This window comes from Homo sapiens, chromosome 20 (genome assembly GCF_000001405.40).
Source record: "Homo sapiens chromosome 20, GRCh38.p14 Primary Assembly".
In the NCBI taxonomy this organism is placed as follows: Eukaryota; Metazoa; Chordata; class Mammalia; order Primates; family Hominidae; genus Homo; species Homo sapiens.
This window is the reverse complement of record NC_000020.11, coordinates 25,931,564-25,954,441: the sequence shown is the minus strand read 5'-3', so window position 1 is coordinate 25,954,441 and position 22,878 is coordinate 25,931,564.

Genomic DNA, 22,878 nt, shown 5'->3' with positions numbered 1-22,878 from the left:
AATGGTGAAAACAAAGAGGAGGGAAGAGGACAATAGTATGTATGATGAGTCCAGTCAGGCACTGGGGACAGGGAAGTGGGTGTGATTTTGTTTTATTTAACAACAAAATAGATAGAGAAATGAAAGGCAATGAAGTGCACATGAATAAGCTGGTTTCTACTGTGGGCAACTAGGGTTCAGTCATGCTGGAGACTGTGAAAGACGTCGAACACACCTTTATAATTGGCCACCTGAGGAATGAAGGAGCCGTGTACATAGTAATTTCCTGATTTTATCTATGGACTAAAGGTTGTGTTAATAGCAAAACCCACAGTTAATTTTGCACCATCCTAATACCTTGAGCCCTTAACTTCCTGGCATTTCTTGTCTGCTAGGAATAATACTCAGAGAATGGCCTCAGGCTGAGAGATGTTGAGATAGAAAGCTCTTTAGAATATAAGAGAAACAACAACTGAAGTTGCAGGTGATTTCCAGAGCAGCCTTTAGAGATAGGAGTGAAGAATGCATAGCTTCTGTTACAGATAGTAATCAAGATACACAAACTCTTCTGTGGACTTCTAAGGTGTGATAACTTCTGAAAGCAAAGAAAAATGGCATAAAAATAAAACAGAATGTGATAAGGAATGACTAGAGGATAGGCTGTAGGAAAGAAGGAGAAAGAGGAAAGGTCAGTTTAGGTTCAGTTATTTAAGAAAATCTCTTTGAGGAGTAGGAATTTGAAACCAGTTCTGCAGAAATCTGGGGGTAGAACATTTCAAACAGAGTAAAATAGAAGAACAAAGACTCAGAGGCAGGCTCAATCTTGGCAATAGGCTCAACAATCAGACAAAAAAAAAAGCAGAATAATGAGGGGATACAGAGTGATAGGAGATGAAACGGGAGAGGGGTTCAGATTACATGAATTTTATAGGACTTGGTGATTTAGATTTTATTCCAGTATGTTGAGAATCCACAGATCATTTTAAGCAAAAATAAATGGCATGATCTCATTTATATTTTAAAAGTCAGTTGGTTTTCTCTGTATAATATGGATTTTTATGGGGCAAGAAGGAAGGGAGTTGTTACAGGTACTTGAGAGGAAAGATGATGTTTGCTTGATAGGTCGGCAGCAATAGAGGTGGGAAAAAGCAAGCAGATCAGACTCACTTTTGGATCTTTAGTTCACTTAAAGTGTTGATACATTGGAGCATAAAAGATAAATATTTTACTTTTCATCCCTAAAAGGCAGAAAAATATAGGGGCAAAAGATGGAATGTTGGAAGTTTAGGAAATGTGGTTTTTGACTTGACCTTAAACTGTTCCAGCTGTATATGATCTTAGGGCGATCATACAGCTGTTTTGGCTGTGGCTTCTTCATTTCTGAAATGGCATTAATAATAACATTCCTATAGCTGAGGTGTTAAAGATTAAAACAATAGAGGTAAAGCAGTCTTGAAAATTTCAATGTAATACCTAAATTTGAGGTATTATAGGGATGCCCTAAGTTGCTTTCAAAAAATGCTATGTTATTACATGCTACTCTTTGATAACCTTTTATTTATGATAATTAATGTAATTAGTGTGCTAATTTTCTACAGTTGCACCCTGGGGCAATCGTGCAACAGTTGTAATTTTAAAAGTTGGGCAAATAAGTAAATGTCAATCTGTAATAAAATCCAAATGAGTCTGTGATGAATGTTGATGGTGACTGGTAATTTACCTGATAAAATATTGTAACTGCCCAGTTACCTTGGAATAGCTGATTTCTCAAAGTAATTACCATGTTCTGCATAGTGAAGTGTCATCAGAGAAAATTTTAACACATAGTGGTCATTTTTAATTTGGTGATTTAAATATCATATTGATTAATGAAATAGTAGCATTTTAATTCAGACTGTTAAGTCAAAAGAGAGAGACGTTTATCACATACTATAGAGTGCACTGTTGTGTAATAATCGCTCATTTCTTACCTGTTTTTAACTACCATTTAAAAAATATAATTCCTTCTAATAAAGATAAAATCTTATTGGATTAAAAGTTAAAAAGCAATTGGACCCAGTCTCCTACCTAGAACCTTATTGCTGTTAAGTCTAGGACATCTTTAAGAAGCCATCTTTACCTTGCTGTTTTCTGAGAGTCGTATGTTATGATTTCATTAGATCTGCAAACAAACAACAGAAGCATACACTGGTATGGTATTCTAACATTTGCCATGATATTGTTATCAAATTGTTAACTTTTGGTTAACTGTGTGTTTCTTTGTTTGCTTCACTTTCCAAGAATATGTTTCACAGATACTATTAGTTCAAGAAAGCTGGGGAAAAGAAAAAAAAATAAAGGTTAAGATCCTGACTAGAGAATGAATTAGAGAAAGCCAAAGTAATTGCCTGGAAAAGATATGTGGGAGGTTGGGTCAAGTTTAAAGGTTCAGAAGTAGATTTCGAGATAAGCATTTTTCTGGATATTTGGAATTATCTCCTAAAGATATTATTCTTTGAAATATGACCAAAAACATATAGCCAAAGATCAATTTTGTTTTGGCAAATCCAGTCAAAGAAAATAAGTTATCTAAAGGCTCAGAAGTGCTTTGTCCTAGTTCTTTCTCAGGCTTCTTAATCAATACTCACAACTCTGTACCAATTATTGGTAAGTAATATATATAGATTATCAGAGACTGCAGTTTCTGCCAGTGTGTCTGAATTAACCCTTTCAGTGTTTTGTGAACTTCAGTTGTAAAATATTAGCAGAATATAAAATAATTCTAAATTTTTAAAATTTTAAAGTGGGGAAACATTTGAGCAAACACTTCACAAAGATATGCAAATGGCCAGTAAGCATATGAAATGATCAACATTATTATTCACTAGAAAAATGTAAATTAAATCCACAATGAGATGCCCCTACACATATAACTAAATTGGCTAAAATTTAAAAATTATAGACAACTGAAAGTATCAAGCGATAGTGAGGATGTGGAACACAAAACTCTCAGTTTGCTAGCAGGGTTGCAAAAAGATACAGCAACTTTGGAAAACACTTTGGCAGTTTCTTATCATTTTAAATATTCTCTTACATACAACCCAGAAAGTCCTCTCTTAAGAATTTACCCCCAAAAAAGGGAGCAAGGGAAGTTCATGTAAATCTCTATATGCAAATTATTCACAATACCTTAAACCTAGAAACAACTCAAATGTACATCAATCAGCTAGTGATAAACAAAGTTTTCTATATAGAGATAGTAGGTTAATATTAGCAATTTAAAAAGAAGAAACTTAAAATCCATGAAAGAACATAATTTTGAAAAGACATGAAAGGCAATACACTGTTTCATTCCATTTATATGATATTCTGGTAAAGGCAAAAGTATAGAGACAAATCAGATCAGTGGTTGCCAGGGTATATAAGTAGGGGTTAGAGACTTGATACAAAGGAAATTGAGGGAATTTATGGGGGTGATGGGAGTATTCTGTATATTGATTGCAGTGGTAGTTATATGATTATGTACATTAATCAATAATCATCAAACTGTATATCTAAGAAGGGTAAATTCTAATGAATGTAATTTATCAATAATCATCAAACTGGATGTCTAAGAAGAGTAAATTCTAATGAATGTAAATTATACATCAATACATGTGATTTTAAAAAATTTATTTAAGGATATTATGAACAAATTTTGGCAACAATTTCAAAATTTAGAAAAAATGGACAAATTCTAAGAAAAATACTACTTACCAAAGTAGACACTGGAAAAAACCAAAATATGAGTAATCTGATTTACATTAATGAAATTAAATATTTAACATATTCAATTTTGGAATAGTCCATGCCAGGATTTGCCTGCAAATTCTTCTAAAGATTTAATAATGGAATAGTAATTCTTTTATGACACTTAGAGTTCTATAACACTTAGTTTCTGTAATTGCAGAAACCCTTTTCAACACATTTTATGATGGCCACATTATCATTATCTTGATAAGAAATCTTACAGGGCAGTACATGAAAGAAAAACACAATCCAGGCTTCAAATACAAATTGAAGTAAAAATCTTATGCAAATATTTTTTAAACAAATTCAGTAGCATATTTTAAAAGTTTAATGTAGACTAACAAACTTCCTTTAATTCCAGAAATGTAAGGATGTTTTAACGTTAAAAAATCAATGAGTAAACTTTTTTGATTTTGATAATTATACTTTGGTTATAGGGAGATGTCCTTTTTTTAGAAAGTCAAATTGATTCATTTAGGGGTATGTATTAGTCCATTTTCATGCTGCTGATAAAGATAAACCCAAGACTGGGCAATTTACAAAAGAAAAGAGGTTTAATAGACTCACAGTTCCATGTGGCTAGGGAAACCTCACAATCACGGCAGAAGGTGAAAGCCATGTCTCACATGGTGGCAGACAAGAGAAGAGAGCTTGTGCAGGGAAATTCCCCTGTATAAAATCATCAGATCTTTTGAGACTTCTTTGCTATCATGAGAATAGCATGGGAAAGACGTGCCCCCATGATTCAATTACCTCCTACTGGTTCCCTCCCACACATGTGGGAATTCAAGATGAGATTTGGATGGGGACACAGCCAAACCCTAACAGGGTAGAAGGGCAAACTTGACATATTAGTCTTAAATAATTAAAAAAAGAGAAGAATAAGAGAGGAGGAAAAGTCATAAATAAATGGAGCAAAACATAAACAACTGGTGAATCTGAAAATATCAGTAAAATACTTTGTGGTTTCTTATACTTTTCTTGCAACTTTCGTGTTTGAAAGGTTATCCTCCTTCTGCTCAAATTTGCCAAAAACATTTAAAAGTCTATTAGTGCAATGTACTGCTGAATAAAAAGAAAAATCAGATGATTGTCTAAAATCTCTGATAATAGTATTTTTTAGAATTGAAAGCCTCAGCAAACTGTAGCATTTTAATTGATAAACATAATCTTCAAAAAAAAGAAAAAAATCTGCAGCAAAATCCTTCATAATGTGAAATGTTAAACATTTTGTCTGCAAGATAAAATATGAGGCTAGATTACTTATTATCATTACTCCATCCCACTTTATTCTAATCCATTCATAGCCAGTGCAAGATGGCAAGGAGTAAAGACTAAAGACCAGAAAGGTAAAATGCCACTCCCATTTTCACATATACATTTGTGTTTATGAAATGTCCAAGATAATTTTCTACTTAATTATTAGAATTAATATCACAGTTTTGTGTGGTTTCTGATATAAGATCAATATTTTAAAAAGTGTATTTCTTTATACAATAAATAGAAGATTAAAATATAAAAAGATACCCCTTTGAACAGCATCAAAACATCAAATACTTGAGATAAATTTAATTAAATATATGCAAAATCTCTACAGAACTATATAACTTTATTGGGTAGTATTGAATGAAACCTAAATAAATCTAGAGATAGAATGTGTTCATAAATTGAAAACTTAAATTTATAAAGATGTCCATTTTCCTAAATTTATCTGTTGATTACAACATCAATCATAGTTCCAAGAGGCTTCTTTATCTTCAAAAATTAACATGTGAATTCTAGAATTTAGATGACAATGCAAAAGGCTAAGAACGGCTAACATCTCAAAAAAGAACAAACTTACAGTCCCAGATATCAAGGCTATAATATAAACCATAGTAATGAAGAAAGGTAAATATCACAAGCATAGATAGACCAATATAACAGTATAGAATCTTGTATCAGTATGGAAAAAGAAATCTAGATTTTTACCTCACTTCATTCACAAAACCATTTCATTCATGTAGATGTAAACAGGAATGGAAAAGCAATAATTGTATAAGATAAAAAAGAATATCTTCAGGGTCTGGGAAGGCAAAGATTTCTTAAGCGGGATATGAAAAACATTAATGATTTCAACTGTATTAAAATTAAAAAGTGTTTTCTTCTCTAAAAAGGCACCAATAAGAGAGCAAAAGCAAGTGAAACTAGATTATTTGTGGTTTATATAATTGACAAATGGCTTATATGCAGAATACATAAAAATTCGAACAATAAGAAGAGAGGCCACCCAATAGGAATATGGGTGATATTTTGAAAAAGCAGTTTACAAAAGAGATTATACAAATATCTAATAAATGTTTTAAAAGACGTCCAACCTCACTTGTCCTTAAATAATAATTAAGTCCATCAGCAGAAATACTACACATTCACCAGAAAAGTTAAAAGATAGAAAATAATTTAAAGTGTTGATGTGGTTTTGAAGCAACTGGAAATCTCTTATGCTATCAGGATGAATTTCAAACAACCACTTTGGAAACAGGTTTCATATTATCTACAACATTTGAACACATGCATCCTGTATGATCCAAGAATTTCATTTCTGGGTATGCATTCAACAGAATTGTATGCACATATGCAGTAATAGAAACTTATAACAATGTTCACAAATGGATTATTTAGCCACAGAAAGAAAGCAATGTCTAGCAAGACAGGAAAGAATAAATAGTGGTGTATGAATAGATTGTACTACTTTACATCTATCAAAATGAATATGATAAAGATACACACAATAACACCCGTGAATCTTGATCATAATTTTGAACAAGAGAAACAAATACAAACACATTCCGTATTAGTCTATTTATAGGGGGTAAATTATTCTTTGCCATTTGACATCAGGAGAGTGGTTACATTTTGGGAGAAGGGAGAGGGAAATAATGTGGTTGGGGCATGAGGAGCCTCCTATGTGTCCTTTGAGTGTTTCTTGACCCAGGTTGATAGTTTCATGGGTGTGTTCACTCTGAACTAATTCCTTGAGCTATACAATTATGATTTGCACAATTCAATTATATTATATTTCAGTGGAAGCTTATGAAAGAGAAACATTGCTGCTAAAATTCATTAAGTGAAGGCTTATGGGGAAGTAGACCTTCATAGCATCCCATACTTGCAAAAGGGGCAATCTAACTGAAGGATGACATCAGTATCAGATATCAGATATCACACAAACCAATGATCACTTTTACTGTCTCAACTGTCGGTCAACCTGACATTACAAATTTTCTGATGTAGTACAACATGAGGTACAAAATTTCACCTGTGATTTATTCTAGTCAAGCGTGTTTAACTGGCAGCCATTAAGGCATTAGGTGTAAATTTAGACACAGAAAGCAATCAAGCAAAGCCTCAAGGTATGCCATTTTGTAGGTCAATTGGCCTCTTTCCTTCAACAAGTCAGTACCATTTAAAAAGGGGGGTAATTCTAGATTAAAAAAAATTAAGGGGTGGACAATTAGATATAATGTGCAGGACTGCACTGAGACTGGTTTAAAGAAATCAGCCCTGAAGAAAAATGTTTAATTAATTAAAGACATCTAAATACAGCATGGATATTATATATAATGAAAATGCATGAAAATAAAAATGTGAAAATTATTGACTGAAAAAGAGGTTACAAAGTGTATATTTGATGAAAAATAATATGTAAGGCTAGAGGCAAAGGTACTAACAATGGTGCTTTCTTGTTTATAGGACTATTTCAACACATTTTGCTCCTCTGCATTTAAAAACTTTTCTCTGATGCACATATACTGTTTCCATAATAATAAAATTATGTTTAAATGATTCAACATTTCTGAATAGCAAATTACTATACATGTACACTTTAAAATAGACAATTTATAGGGCTATACCCAACTTGTGGCTGTGCACTGTCCAGTTACTATACATGTACTTCTTACCCTCCTTTCAATATCTAATTATAAAATTCTGAACTCATTGAGGGCTATTAGCACAGCTACAATTGTTTTTGCTTCTTCTAATTTGATATTTGTATGGTATTTTTAAAATTATATATTATGAACTTTTTGTATATATTTGAGTATTTTGATATTTTAACTATAAAAAGTACGATGTTTACTGAACAAAATAATAGATAATTATTTTTAAAAATGTAGAAATTAACAATTGCAGGCAATATCACTTCCCAGAAATAATTTCCAGTTTTATTACATTGTCATCATGGACTAAATTATACACTATTTTTACTTTTTGGAATATGCTAAGGTTTTCATTGAGGCCCAATACTTTGTCCACTTTGACTATTATTCCATGAGTATTTGAATAAATATACACATATTAGTTATCCTCCATTAATTGCTTATGTCCTCCTAAATCTCACTTATGTTTTTTCACTTGATCTTCCATCAGCTGAAAAAATAGTATTATAAATTGTATTTTAAAAAATGCTGCTGAAGTTTTTGCTTTCTGAATTTTGCATACATATTTAATAAATATTTATGACAGTTACTTATTTATAGTGACCTTTTTATTGATACAAAGTGTCTTTGTCCTACTTCATATTTTTTACCAACCATGAATAAAACCTATTTGTTTTAAATATTGTGATCTTTGCTTTTTTTTTTAATTTCCATTTGCCTGTAATTCTTTTGCCCAAAGCTTCACTTTCAAGCTTTTGAGTTAATTTTTATTAGAGTTGCTGCTTGTATGCAATAAATCATTGGCTTTTTTACTGAATGTAATCCTGGAAGGAATCATGATTCCTCTTAGAGTTTCCACTATCAAAAACCTAAAGAGTCTGTTTACGGAGATGTAGCTAGGGTTAAAAAAATAAGAGAGAAAGAGAGATGCAGAGGAACAAAGACACCAACCACAGGAAGCCATAAAGGGACAAGAGAAAAGATAGCATTACCAGAGCTAAGTGAGTTCTGGAGCTGCAAGGAAAGGTCGCATAGCAGGAGTTCTAGTTATGGAGAGATTCAGCCCCTGGCAGAAGCACAGAACCAAAGCAGAGGGAATCGGGGAAGAAATAACGCATTCTCCTCTCCACCTAACTTGCACCCTACAGGAGCCTCCCACTGAGTGCCTTCTGCTGAAATTCAGGCCACAAAGGAATCTGAATGATGTTGACTGCATGGCTCTGCATCCATGAGCACAGAGCAAGTTAGACAAGGGAAGAAAATAAATCCATGAAGTCAATAGAAACTTACCAGAACATTACTCCGACTTCACATTCATTCTTGCCTCTTGCTCAGATTAAGAAAATTGGATCTCCAGTACAGGTAGACCACAGTCCTAGCATAATTTAAATTGTGGCAGGGTGTCAGCAATTCAGTCTTATTCCCAACTGGATTATAAATGTTAATGTCACCCACTATCAGTACTCTTTATATGAGATAGCAAGGAGAGTGAGGGGAAAGAAATATTCAGTTAAAATAAATATGTAAATTAGCTACTACTGTTTTCACTTTTGGTCATGAGGCTAAATTTTATCATCATAATTTCCTTTTTCTATTATCCATTCCATTTTCAAGCAAACTTTACTACTTCCATAGTACAGGAATTATTGTCTCATGGGATGACCCAAATCTTCATTTCATAGGATCAAAGTCCCTAGTGATACTGTCTTTATTTGGTGGCTCTTTATGGGACATATAAGTGCTAAAAGGCTCCACAGCAGATCTCCTGGATTCCAACTAGGCCTACTTGCCTAATTTTCCTTTGTTAATCAGAATTAATCAATCCATTCAGTATAGTTAAACTCTTTATTGCCAGTTAGGTCAATGGCATTAGGAGCTAAAAATAGCAAGGGTGCAATTTCAGGTCCAAATTTAATGGAAACATAGCTATATTTCTTGAAAGAAAAGTTCCTTCCTTGGAAAAGAGAACCACCAAAGCTACTAAATACAAGTTTCCAGGAAGGGAAATAAAATTCTGTAAATAGAATGTCAGGTAAAATAATTCTACTTCTTAGTTCCTGACCCTACATATTCTAGCTTTTGGAAATATGGCTTATGTATTGGCTAATAGTTTAATCTGTTAGGCCAGCACCACAATTTCAAACAATATTGTGTCACACCTGGCATTGAAACTGAGCCTTTAGGAAGCCATTCCATCAATCTATCAGGCCAGCTGCTTACTGGTGATGGGACATGTAGGGAAACATGAATTTCATGGGCATGGATCTTTTGTAACAATTGTTTTGCTATTAAATGAGTTTCCTTGTCAAAGGCAATGTAGTATGGGATGTTATGGCAATGAATAAGGCATTCTATAAGGTGACATATGGTGACACTGGTAGAAGCATTGAGGGCAAAGAAGAGAAATCCATTTCTAGAATGTGTATTTGGTTTTATGTGGACAAATGATTGCTTACTCCACAATATAAAGGATTCAATGTAATCACCCTGGCACCAGGTGCCTGGTCGGTGTCCCTATGAAATGGTGCCATATCAGGAACACATTTGCCCTTGGTATTGACAAGTTGGACACTCAGTGATAGTAGACAGATCAGGGTTGCTAAAGGGTAGTCCATTGTGCTGAGTTTATGCATATTTACCATCCATGCAACTATGATTACTTTTTGCATGGTTCCACTAAGTAAGCACCTATATCACTGGGAGAAAGCTTGATAGACATCCACAGGAAAGACCAGACACCTAATCTACCTGATTGTTGAGCACCTTCTCTTTAGGGGATTCCCCTGGTGAATATGAATGAGAGTTGAGGAAAATTTGATAACTAAGCAGGAATAGCTAATAAAGGTCTGAACCACCTGCTCATTCAATATACTTGTGACTCCCCTTCCTGTTCAGCCTTAATGTCACCCATATCAATTCCATTTTATAATAACCTGCTAATTTTCAAGCACAATTTGAAGATTTGATAACTTGGATAGCACCCAGTTGATGGTGAACACTTCAAATCACATAGTTACATGGTGACAAGCCAGACTTCTTAAATAGATAAAAATATTTGGCAGAAGGGGACCTAGTTTTGTTCCAAAATTATTAGTTAGATGAATTATGATTGTCTTCTTGGGGTTACTTAGAAGTGTCAAACAGCATCATTCTAAGCCAGATACTTAGATCTACTGAGTCAAAATACCCACGCAGCAGAGGAGCCTACAGCACAGACTGAACCTGCTGCAAAGAGCTCTTTGTTCTAAATGGGTAGACTTGTGAGTTAGACTGTAATAGGTTTGAATACACACAACTGTAGTCATGTTACTTCCAAAATCCAGACAAGCCTCTCAGTCACTCTGCTCTTTCTGTGTGGTAGGCAGTACAAGGTATAGCTACCTATTATTCCCTAAGAAACAGATATTCTTACATACCCCATTTTGTAATAGCTTCTACATTAATTAGGACCCTTGTATAAAACAGAAATCTGCTTCAGGATTGGTATGGTGGCTCACACCTCTAATCCCAGCATTTTGGGAGGCCAAGGTGGGAGATCACGTGAGCCTAGGAGTTCAAGACCATCCTGGGCAACATAGGGAGACCCCATCACTATTATTAAAAAAGAAAAAAAGAAAAGAAAAAGAAATCTGCTTCAATGGTCCACAATAGAGACTTTGGTGAATGGACTACTTACCTCAGTTAGAGCAGGATTTAAAACCCCAGCAAAGGTTGCTGTAATACTCAGATACCAGGAACAGTGGAATGCTGTTACCATCCCCAGACCTGAAGGGACAAGGTGTATAATTTGCATTACTGAAGCCTAGAAAGAGCTGGTGCTGTGGAGAAGAGTTATCTGGTAGAAACTACATTCATGCAGAATTAGGAAGAAAGCAGGGTATAGATATCAGGATTTTTCTCTCTCTCCTTCTGCCATCTGACCCACTGCCAGTGCCTTACATTAATCCAATTCAACTAGGAGCTAGCTGGCAGAGGAACCTGAATGATAAAGTCTTAGGAGTTCACCTCCTGGAGCACAGAACAGAGTATTGAAAGTCAGATAAAGGATTTGGGTGGAGCTAAGAGAATTATCAACACATTTTTTCTTGTCCAATATGTCTTTTGCTTTAATTATTAATTTTATTTCATTACATATAACAGTGAAGATATGTTTAGTTTGAGTTTTGTCATCTTATGTAATGATCTCTGCTTTGAATGTTTTCTTTTTTCACATTTTCCTATAACATGTTCTTTGTGTATATGTTTGCATTTGCCTTTCATAAGATTTTGTATGTTTGTGTATATGTATCAGTTATGATGATACACAGCAGAAAAAAATATTTTAAAATCTGCAAATACACATAAAGTAGAGATGCACCAAATAAACATTTGGCTGAACACTGAAAGGCTGAGTATTAACATCATTATTCACCTGAGCCGAATATTACTATTGTAGAATGAATCCAAAGTTTTATGAAATTCAATTTTGATTGCAATATTTGTTACTGAAATTTCAGTAATCAAAAATTTAAAGCTTGACGTTATTCAAGGACAGTAATTTCTTGGCATTGTCAGCTGCAAGATTGTTCCTGTGATCATCATAGCATGGGCAGATGCTAATTTGTCTACCTTCCTATATCATACATAGGAGGAAGCTCCCACCAAGTTATTACACTTTCTTCCTCTATAATATTAAAAAATAAAGTATATATATGAAGATTGTGGATCCTGAAAATGTAGTTGATGGTGACGATGCAGCTTCATTGAAGCAATACCCCAGCAACTGCAGCTTTGCACACTGACTATTTTTAGAAGCAGAATTAGAATTGATGCCTTGAAATACATATTTTTATGCTTCTATTTTCCTGCACTTGTTCCATAATCACTTGAGAATATTTCTCTATAAACCTTAACTTTTAAATGTGGCAATGGAAAAGTGAAAATAGCTTTTAAGATAAAGCAATTGTCTCTGAATTTCCAGCTGCATCTAAACTTTCATGATGAAACTAATTTCGCTATGTTCTCCAGTTTAGGATGACAGGAAGAGCTTTACCACAGGTATCTTATAAGAAATATGTGCACTCTAATTGCATATTGTATGGTGATTTCCTCAACAAATTATAGCAAACAAACTAATTTCTCTTTAAGCAACCACTGGATCTTAATAAGTCCTGGGATGGAAGCTGTGCCATTAAGGTTTGTTCAAGCAGCTACTTTAATACGTGACCACTGCCAATTTACCTTGTATAGGTTCATAACAAAGCAGTTCCAAAATTGTATGCCTGTCATGTAGTATATCTTTAGCTGAAGATTTTAAGATTTCACCAAGGTTAATTAACCCTTGAAAGTAAATACTCAGATATTAAAAATAAATCTAAAGCATCATGAGGTCATTGATACCATGTAAGCTTAGAGATGCCAGAAATGTTGGTGGATTAGATCAGTTTTCTAATCTGAACTCCCAAAATATGAGGCAAAACTAAAGGTGAATGGAGAATTGGGCTAATCCAGAGGGTAAACATGCACACATGTGAGTGCAAGTGTGTGCTTGCATGAGATATGTACCCTCTGCGGCCCTGAGAAAGTAGCAGCAGAGATAGACTTCTCAGGGACACCTGGGCACTGCCCCTGCCTTTACACATTTGTCAGGTATATTGGCTCATGGGCTCATTCTCTTTATCAGAGAAAGATTACAGGTTTCTGATATAAACACCAAAAGATCAGGTGATATATTATTGAAAGTTCACTGCCTATTATAATCTGAGTAATATAAAATAATAATGGCATATGGATGGTCTGATGGCAATATTAGTTTCTTCTACTAGATAGGGAAGGAGGTGTCTTTCTCTTTTCGTGAATTTGGGCCTTTGTTGTAAATCAGGAGTTGACATATTTCTGGAACATAAGGGAAAACTACATCCAACCAGAATCTAACCTTTTAATCCATCCAAGAGTTTACTTAATTCACCCAATTAAAATATCGATTCTCTACAATACCTATTCATAATCTCTTTAGTCCATATTTTCTCCATTATGTCCAACTCCCACCATTCAGCTGTTGATTTATGGTGAGAACTATTTTTACTATTGTAGAATTAATTACTTAAAATATGTAATCCCTAACTCTACAGACTCATAAAATTCATGTTCACCTCTGCATTCCAGTGATCAGAAAAAATATGGGGCATATTTCCAAATATAACTCCTTCACTGTCTCTTTTCAAAGGGCATAACAGAGTGACAGGATTGAAGGAAGAGGGCAGATAGTTTAAAAATATTATATAGGGGGCCACCTCTTGAAAAGGAAGTCTAATATCCTACAGGAAGGCTCTGGCCCTAGGTTTTCATCTGTAAATCGTAGTTACTCTAACTCTTCTAGTTATTAGAGGGAAATTTTTCTTTATTCCTGTTGCTGTGCTGTTCATCTTGGAAAGGGAAAGTAAAAGCTTTGTAATAACACCTAAGATATTAATAGCCTCACAGATTACTATGATCATACAGGACAGCGTGTTTCATAGTTTTACATGTCTTAAAATCTTGTCTACAAACAGAAAATATTGGATGTAAAGAGTAGAAACCAATCTAAGAAGAAGAGCAAAGAAAAGCAACTAAAGATGCTTACCTTGAAAGAAAGAGGACTTAAGGCAACATTAGTTGTTTTCAAATATTGGAGGGCTTGCCAATGAATAACCAAGGGGACAAATTTTATACAGCCATTAAGGGTGGAGAAAGAAATGGTGGATACAAGTTTTAGGATGGCATATGTAAACTACTCTAAGGAATTAATAATTACTAGCATACATGGATTGCTTTAAGGGATGGGGGACACAAACAGCAGGGTCAAAGCAAAGTCTTATGGTCAGGAATACTGTAGAGAAAATACGGCCGTTGAATGGGGAGTTAGACTAATTAAGCTGTATAGACCTTTACAATTGTGATTAAAATTGTGTGAGTTATATGAAATTGTATGAGATAGTACTGATATTTAAGGATTATTGTATTATTTTCCTATTTGTCAGGCTAACAAGAGTGAAGGCAATGCATGATAAATGTGGTATAGTGATGATTAGTAGATTTGGAGTTGCAAACACGGAGCTTGAACTCAGAATTCAGTTCTATCACTGACATTAGTAAACTAGAATAAATAATTAACTTATATGAGACTCAATTTGTTTATTAAACATAATGATAATTATACTATATACCTCACAAGATTATTATGTGAGTTAAATTAGGTAGCAGGTATTCAGTACAATGAACCCTTAGAAATGGCCTAATATGTGCACTTGTAACTGTGACAAGTGGAGTCACAAAGAGAGGAAAGTGGCAGTTGCAGCCTAAAATTTTCCTGGGTTTTTATGACACATACAGAGATAGCTATAATTCAACAGGGTAAATGCTATAACAGAGGTGAATTTAAAAGTATCTTATGAACAAATGAAGTTGGGAAAGGTTGATTTTGGAGATGAATTAGAAAAACATGCAAAAAAGAAGTGCCATAAATCTTGCAAGACAAACAGTATTTAGGAAGTATGTAAAAATATGCCAGAAACAGTCAGCATGAGCAAATGCATAGATATTGAATAAAAATCTGCCTAAGCCCTCTCTCCAAAATAAAATAAAATAAAATAAAATGTAAGCCCTTCATGAGGAACAACAAATAGTAAAAGCTGACTTGACTATGTATTTGAACACACTTGGTATGGTACATGGAAGGTAGCAGGTACACAATATGTGCTTTTTTAAAAACAGATTGCTTGACTTCTGGTTCTGGCTATAATAAAATAATGGATTTCAGACTGAATCTTCTGCTGTAAACAACTATAAAACTAGACAAAATGTACCATGTGCCCATTTTAAAGCATTGTACAACACACAGCATAGAGTCGTGATCCTTGAAGTGAACTCCACATTTAAAGCTGGCCTTTTATATAGGGATACTTCCAAAACTGCAGGAAAGGAAAGAGGAGCCCGAATAGATCACAGCAATTTTTCTGAATGGAGAAACCGATGGTAGGATGCAGCTGAGGTGGCTGGAATTTATGAAGAACATTCCAGAGAAGAAAGAGTCGAACTGAGAAAGAGATCTAAAAATCTACAAATGAGTCTTCTTGAATTTTTTGAGTGAACAACATATTATGCATGTACAGAGTAAGATTTCACAAGGCCACAGAGAGAACAGTTTCTAAGGGGCAATGAGCGGAATGAGGATTTCACTGGTTCAACAATGTTGAAAGCCATTAGAGTTTCAACCAGTCAAAGTGAAAAGACTCACTGAGCATCTCCCAGTGTTTAAATAAGAACTCAGGAAAGTCAGCTTGCGAAGTGGGGCTCATCTACTCCTATCAGAAGAAATACTCTTAAATCAGCCTTAAAAACTTAAAAATAAGGACCAACTGGATCAAACTAATGTGCCAGTAAATTAACTGAGTGCTCAAAATAAAATTCAACACACTTCTACCAAAGACGGAAGTCTAGAATCTAAATAATATAGTATGAAAATGTCAAATATAAAACAAAAACAATTATTAAACATGCAAAAATAGCAGAAACCTATGAGAAAATTAGGAGAAAAATAAGCAATAGAAACAGACCTAAGATAGCCAGGATGTTGTTAAGAATAAAAACAAGCATTATTAAGCTGGTATTAAAGTATGTCCAAGGATTTAGAGGAAAAGAAGAAAGAGAGTGGAGAGATGTAGAATATCAACACAGTCATACAATTCAAAATTCGTAATTGTAGGTGGGAGAAAAGACATGTAATAGAAAAGGGAATAATGATAAAAAATACTTCTGACTTCTCATTAGAACAAATGTAAGCTAAATGAAAATCTAAAAATCATTTAAAGTATAGAGAAGAAATAATAAATCATTTCAGAATTATATATCCAGTGAAAATAATCTTCAAAAGGCAAAATTAACACTTTAATAAGATTAAAATAATAGGTGAAAGTATTTATTACCACCAGAAAAGCACTACAAGAAATGTTAAAGCATGCTCTTCAAGCACAAGAGTAGTGATAAAAAATATAAACTCACATCTGCCAAAGATGTGGAGTGCTACTGGGGCACAAGGACAGATAGGTTTTCCTTAAGGGACAATGACAACAACAAAGAATCTAAAGTTTCAACAGGAAAATACGTAATTGTTCTTATCCTGAGATGATAGTTTTAATATCCCGATTTAGTAATTGTCGTATCTGATTATCTTTGTCAGAAAAACTAACATATACAAGTTTTTTAACCCAAAAATATGAAGTCTTTTTATCACTTTATTGAGTCACGAGCTGCTATGGTTACCAAGAGTAAAGATTTTTGGAGCCCAAAGACGTCTCAGGCTTATTTTTCTCTCCATTCCTTACTTCTGTGCCTTGAAAAATATTACAAAGTAATTTAAGAGCACCCATTGTAGGGCAAAAGTGAAGATTAACTGTGGGTATGTTATGATAAATTGCTTGTATTAGTTATGAAGCCAGGTATCTATATGAATGTCCTTATCCAAACAACTGTATTTAGTATAAAAAATCCTGGAAAAGTGGCTTATCAATTTCAAAAACTTATCTCTGCAAATATTATATAATGGAATTTGTTTTCCAGTATCTTATATAGCAATGTCATCAAGTTTATAAACTGGATAATCTGCTAATTATTTTATGAGAATGGCAGAAGTCATTTAAAGTAGCCACATTCAACTCTGAGTGTATATGTGCATATGCCCACCAAAATACAAGCAGTGCTCAATAGGTAGTTTATGTTTGTGGGCAGGTAATCTTAAAAAATATTTACCTAAAAATCAACAGCCCTTCATGCTAAAAACTCTCAATAAATTAGGTATTAATGGGACATATCTCAAAATAATAAGAGCTATTTATGACAAACCCACACCGAATATCATACTGAATGGGCAAGAACTGGGCGCATTCCCTTTGAAAACTGGCACAAGACAGGGATGCCCTCTCTCACCACTCCTTTTTAACATAGTCTTGGAAGTTCTGGCCAGGGCAATCAGGCAGGAGAAGGAAATAAAGGGTATTCAATTAGGAAAAGAGAAAGTCAAATTGTCCCTGTTTGCAGATGACATGATTGTATATCTAGAAAACCCCATCATTTCATCCCAAAATCTCCTTAAGCTGCTAAGCAACTTCAGCAAAGTCTCAGGATACAAAATCAATGTGCAAAAATCACAAGCATTCTTATACACCAATAACAGTCAGAGAGCCAAATCATGAGTGAACTCCCGTTCACAATTGCTTCAAAGAAAATAAAATACCTAGGAATTCAACTTACAAGGGATGTGAAGGACCCTTCAAGGAGAACTATAAACCACTGCTCAATGAAATAAAAGAGGATACAAACAAATGGAAGAACATTCCATGCTCATGGGTAGGAAGAATCAATATCATGAAAATGGCCATACTGCCCAAGGTAACTCATAGATTCAATGCCATCCCCATCAAGCTACCAATGACTTTCTTCACAGAATTGGAAAAAACTACTTTAAAGTTCATATGGAACCAAAAAAGAGCCCACATTGCCAAGTCAATCCTAAGCCAAAAGAACAAAGCTGGAGGCATCACACTACCTGACTTCAAACTATACTACAAGGCTACAGTAACCAAAACAGCATGGTACTGGTACAAAAACAGAGATATAGACCAACGGAACAGAACAGAGCCCTCAGAAATATTGCCGCATATCTACAACTATCTGATCTTTGACAAATCTGACAAAAACAAGAAATGGGGAAAGGATTCCCTATTTAATAAATGGTGCTGGGAAAACTGGCTAGCCATATGTAGAAAGCTGAAACTGGATCCCTTCCTTACACCTTATACAAAAATTAATTCAAGATGGATTAAAGACTTAAATGTTAGACTAAAACCATAAAAACCCTAGAAGAAAACCTAGGCAATACCATTCAGGACATAGGCATGGGCAAGGACTTCATGTCTAAAACACCAAAAGCAATGGCAACAAAAGGCAAAATTGACAAATGGGATCTAATTGAACAAAAGAGCTTCTGCACAGCAAAAGAAACTACCATCAGAGTGAACAGGCAACCTACAGAATGGGAAAAAAATTTTGGAATCTACTCATCTGACAAAGGGCTTATATCCAGAATCTACAAAGAACTCATACAAATTTACAAGGAAAAAAAAAACTATCAACCCCATCAACAAGTGGACAAAGGATATGAAATGACACTTCTCAAAAGAAGACATTTATGCAGCCAAAAGACACATGAAAAAATGCTCATCATCACTGGCCATCAGAGACATTCAAATCAAAACTACAATGAAATACCATCTCACACCAGTTAGAATGGTGATCATTAAAAAGTCATGCAACAACAGGTGCTGGAGAGGATATGGAGAAATAGGAACACTTTTACACTGTTGGTGGAACTGTAAACTAGTTCAACCATTGTGGAAGTCAGTGTGGCGATTCCTCAGGGATCTAGAACTAGAAATACCATTTGACCCAGTCATCCCATTACTGGGTATATACCCAAAGGATTATAAATCATGCTGCTATAAAGACACATGCCCACATATGTTTACTGCGGCACTATTCACAATAGCAAAGACTTGGAACCAAGCCAAATGTCCAACAATGATAGACTGGATTAAGAAAATGTGGCACATATACACCATGGAATACTATGCAGCCATAAAAAATGATAAGTTCATGTCCTTTCTAGGGACATGGATGAAGCTGTAAACCATCATTCTCAGCCAATTATCACAAGGACAAAAAACCAAACACCATACGTTCTCACTCATAGGTGGGAATTGAACAATGAGAACACTTGGACACAGGAATGGGAACATCACACACCAGGGCTTGTCGTGGGGTAGGGGGAAGGTGGGAGGGCTAGCATTAGGAGGTATACCTAATGCAAATGATGAGTTAATGGGTGCAGCACACCAAAATGGCACATATGTAACAAACCTGCACGTTGTGCACATGTACTCTAAAATTTAAATAAAAAAATTTACCTAAATATCAATATGACTGCTTAAATAAATAACTTGCAAATTATTCTAAGAATACATGATTATGAAATATTTTCAAGCCTAACAGAAATAAAGATAACAGTATAATTATTCTTGATAACCCCAAACTGAAGAGAACTCAAAGGCCCGCAAAATTGGAAAATGGGTTGTAAAAGCTGTGATATAGTCAAATAATTGAAAACTACTCAAAAATACTACAAAAAAAGACACCAAAAGTATGTATTGTATGATCACTTCCATATAAAGTTTCAGAATGGGCAAGATCAATCTGTAGTGATAGAAACAAGAATAATGGCTGGAGGGTGACGGGAATTGATTGTTAAGTGGCATGAGAAATTTCTGGGGTAATGTCAATGTTCTATGGCCTGTGGGTGGCTCAATCATGTATTTTTATCAAAAGTCATTGAATAATGATTAAAAATTGTGCATTTCATCTTATCTAAAGTATACCAAAATTAAAAACAAGGAAAAATACTCTCAAAAAATATGGAAAAGTAAACTTTCGCACATTAGTCTCAAAAACCAATGATTTCTGATGTTCTTTTTACGCTATCAATGTCTTTCATTTTGAATCATCTAGGTTTTTCTGTATTACTGTGCTTCACCTCAGAGACTGAATACTTAACAAAATGCAGAATATGAATTTCAGTGAAGTAATGGCCAAAAAATAGGCCATAAACAGATTATTGTGAGATTAGTATTTGTGGTATGCACAGTAGCCTCCCAAAGATGTCCACATCCTCATTTCTGGAATCTGTGAATATGGCAAAATGGACTTTGTAGCTGTAACTAAGGTTACAAACCTTAAGATAGGGCAAGCATCTTTAAGTATCCAGGTGAACCCAATCTAATCATATGAACCTTCGAAAGCAGAGAACATACTTCAGCTGGAGAAAGAGGGGCTTGGCAGAGGGAGAAATTAGAAAGATTCCTCCTGAGAAGGTTCGGAGGCGTCATTGCTCGTTTTGCGATGTAGAGGCTCACATAGGAAGTCTGGAGACAGGTTACTAGGAGCTGACACCAGCAACCACCAGTTGACACAGGCAAGAAAACAATGACGTACAACTGTACAAGATACTGGGAATGGTGATACAACTGCAAACAACTAAATTCTGCCAACAACCTTAATAAATCTGGAAATGTACTCTTACCAGAGCTTCCCAATAAGATCCCTGTTGATTGTCACCTTCATTTGGACCTTGCCGAATGTTGAACAGGGGAACTGGTTGAGCCCACTGAGACTTCAGACCTACAGAAGTGTGAGATAATAATTTATGTTGCTGAAGCCATTAATTTAGTTGAAATTGTCATGGTGCCAATATAAAACAAATACTTTATTTTATAATGAGACTGGATAATGAAGGGCTTGTGTTGATTTTCAAGGAGATTGAAAAATATATCTCATAAATCTAGTGAAAACATGAAAGTTCTGGGGAGGATGATATTGATAATATCTTTTCTATTTGTATGAGTCCGGTTTTGCACTGCTGTCAAGAACTGCCTGAGACTGGGTAGTTTATAACGGAAAGAGGTTTTAACTGACTCACAGTTCTGCATGTCTGGGGAGGCCTCAGGAAGCTGACAATCATGGCGGAAGGTGAAGGGGAAGCAGGCACCTTCTTCACAAGGTGGCAGAAGAGATGGAAGTAGGAGCACAGGAAAAAACTGCCTCTTTTAAAACCAAAAGATTTCGTGAGACTCTCTATCACGAGAACAGTATGGGAGAAACCACCCCCCACCCCATAATCCTATCACTTCCCTCCCTCAACACGTGGGAGTGGGTGGGGACACAGAACCAAAGCATAGCAGCATTTATGTCAATTCTGCTACATCATTCCTGTTAGATCATCTCTCTCCGTTTTGTTTTCCTAGGATAGCCCATTGCTTGTATTAAAATCATTTCTAGGTATAAACTTTATTCTCAGTAAAACCTTGAAAATGTGAATATACCTGGCATTTTTACTTCCTCAATACGTAGGAAAATTCTGTACAAAGCCAAAATTCTTCTTTTGATTGCCCTCATAATATAGGAAAAAAAGATGGAAATATAAATATTTTATATGAAAACTAAAATCTTCTGATATGGCCTCAAGGCATGTTGGTCAGCCTCATCCCTTTCACAAACTGACATCAGTGACTGTTACTCTCAGTTTCCTTCCTTGTTTACTCACATACACTCTCCCTATTCCTCCCCCAAAATCATTACTTCTAGTTAAAATAGATCTTTCTTTCCATTTTTCATTCTTGTCACCATTTTCAGGAAAGAGCTATTGCCCCTTTCTTTGATCAAAGGCAACTCCCCAAGTACAATGTTTTTTTCTTGCCTGAGGGAGGTTATTTTTTCATGTTGGAAAGAAATGAAAGATTAGAAACCAAACCACACACATTCTTGCACACTGCAGTCACCAAGGAGGTAACTTTCCACCATTACTTGAGACAAATGCGTGTGTGCATTTTTAATCTAGTCTGACCTCAGAGGCTCTAAATAGATGAAGAAATACGTGTGTAATTGAAAAAAAAAAACTGTTCTCTCAGCCATTATTCAAATGACACTAACTCAAATAACAAATCTTAAAGCTCTTTAAAATGTAAAAACATTTTCTTGGTGGAACATCAAATGATAGCTTATTCACATTAAAATCCATAATTACAACAAGCCCCAGTGAACAGGTCTGGCTATTTTTCATTGAAAACAAAAAAGTATAACAATCATAGAACACCTGAATTTATTGGCTTTAATTAAGCGTGTTTGTTCTAAACTGATGTAATTTGGGCACAATCCATAGAAAAGAAAATATATTGTATATTCAGTACTGATTTGCCTGTCCATATAAGAATATTTACAGTCTAGTGAAAATTAGCCTGATGTTATATACAGAAAAGTATAAAACCTCTAATAACATTATTTTTTTTCATTTAAAGGCAAAGGTTTAAAATAAACTTTATATATTATAAAGTCAGTTAAAGTTATTTTTATTTCTCTTAACTAAATACATTGAGATATTAGAAGCAAAAATATAAATTTCTGAAATTGTATACATTATCAAAACAATTTCACTGAAGAATAGGGTTTAGATCAGGAATCAGAGTGTTTCTAAGAAGCCTATTGTTTACTTTCCTCCACCTATTATAAGTAACTAATAAAATATTTTTGCTACGTTTGAAATATTAAACTAATATTAAACATAACTGAACCAACTCAATGGATGAACTCT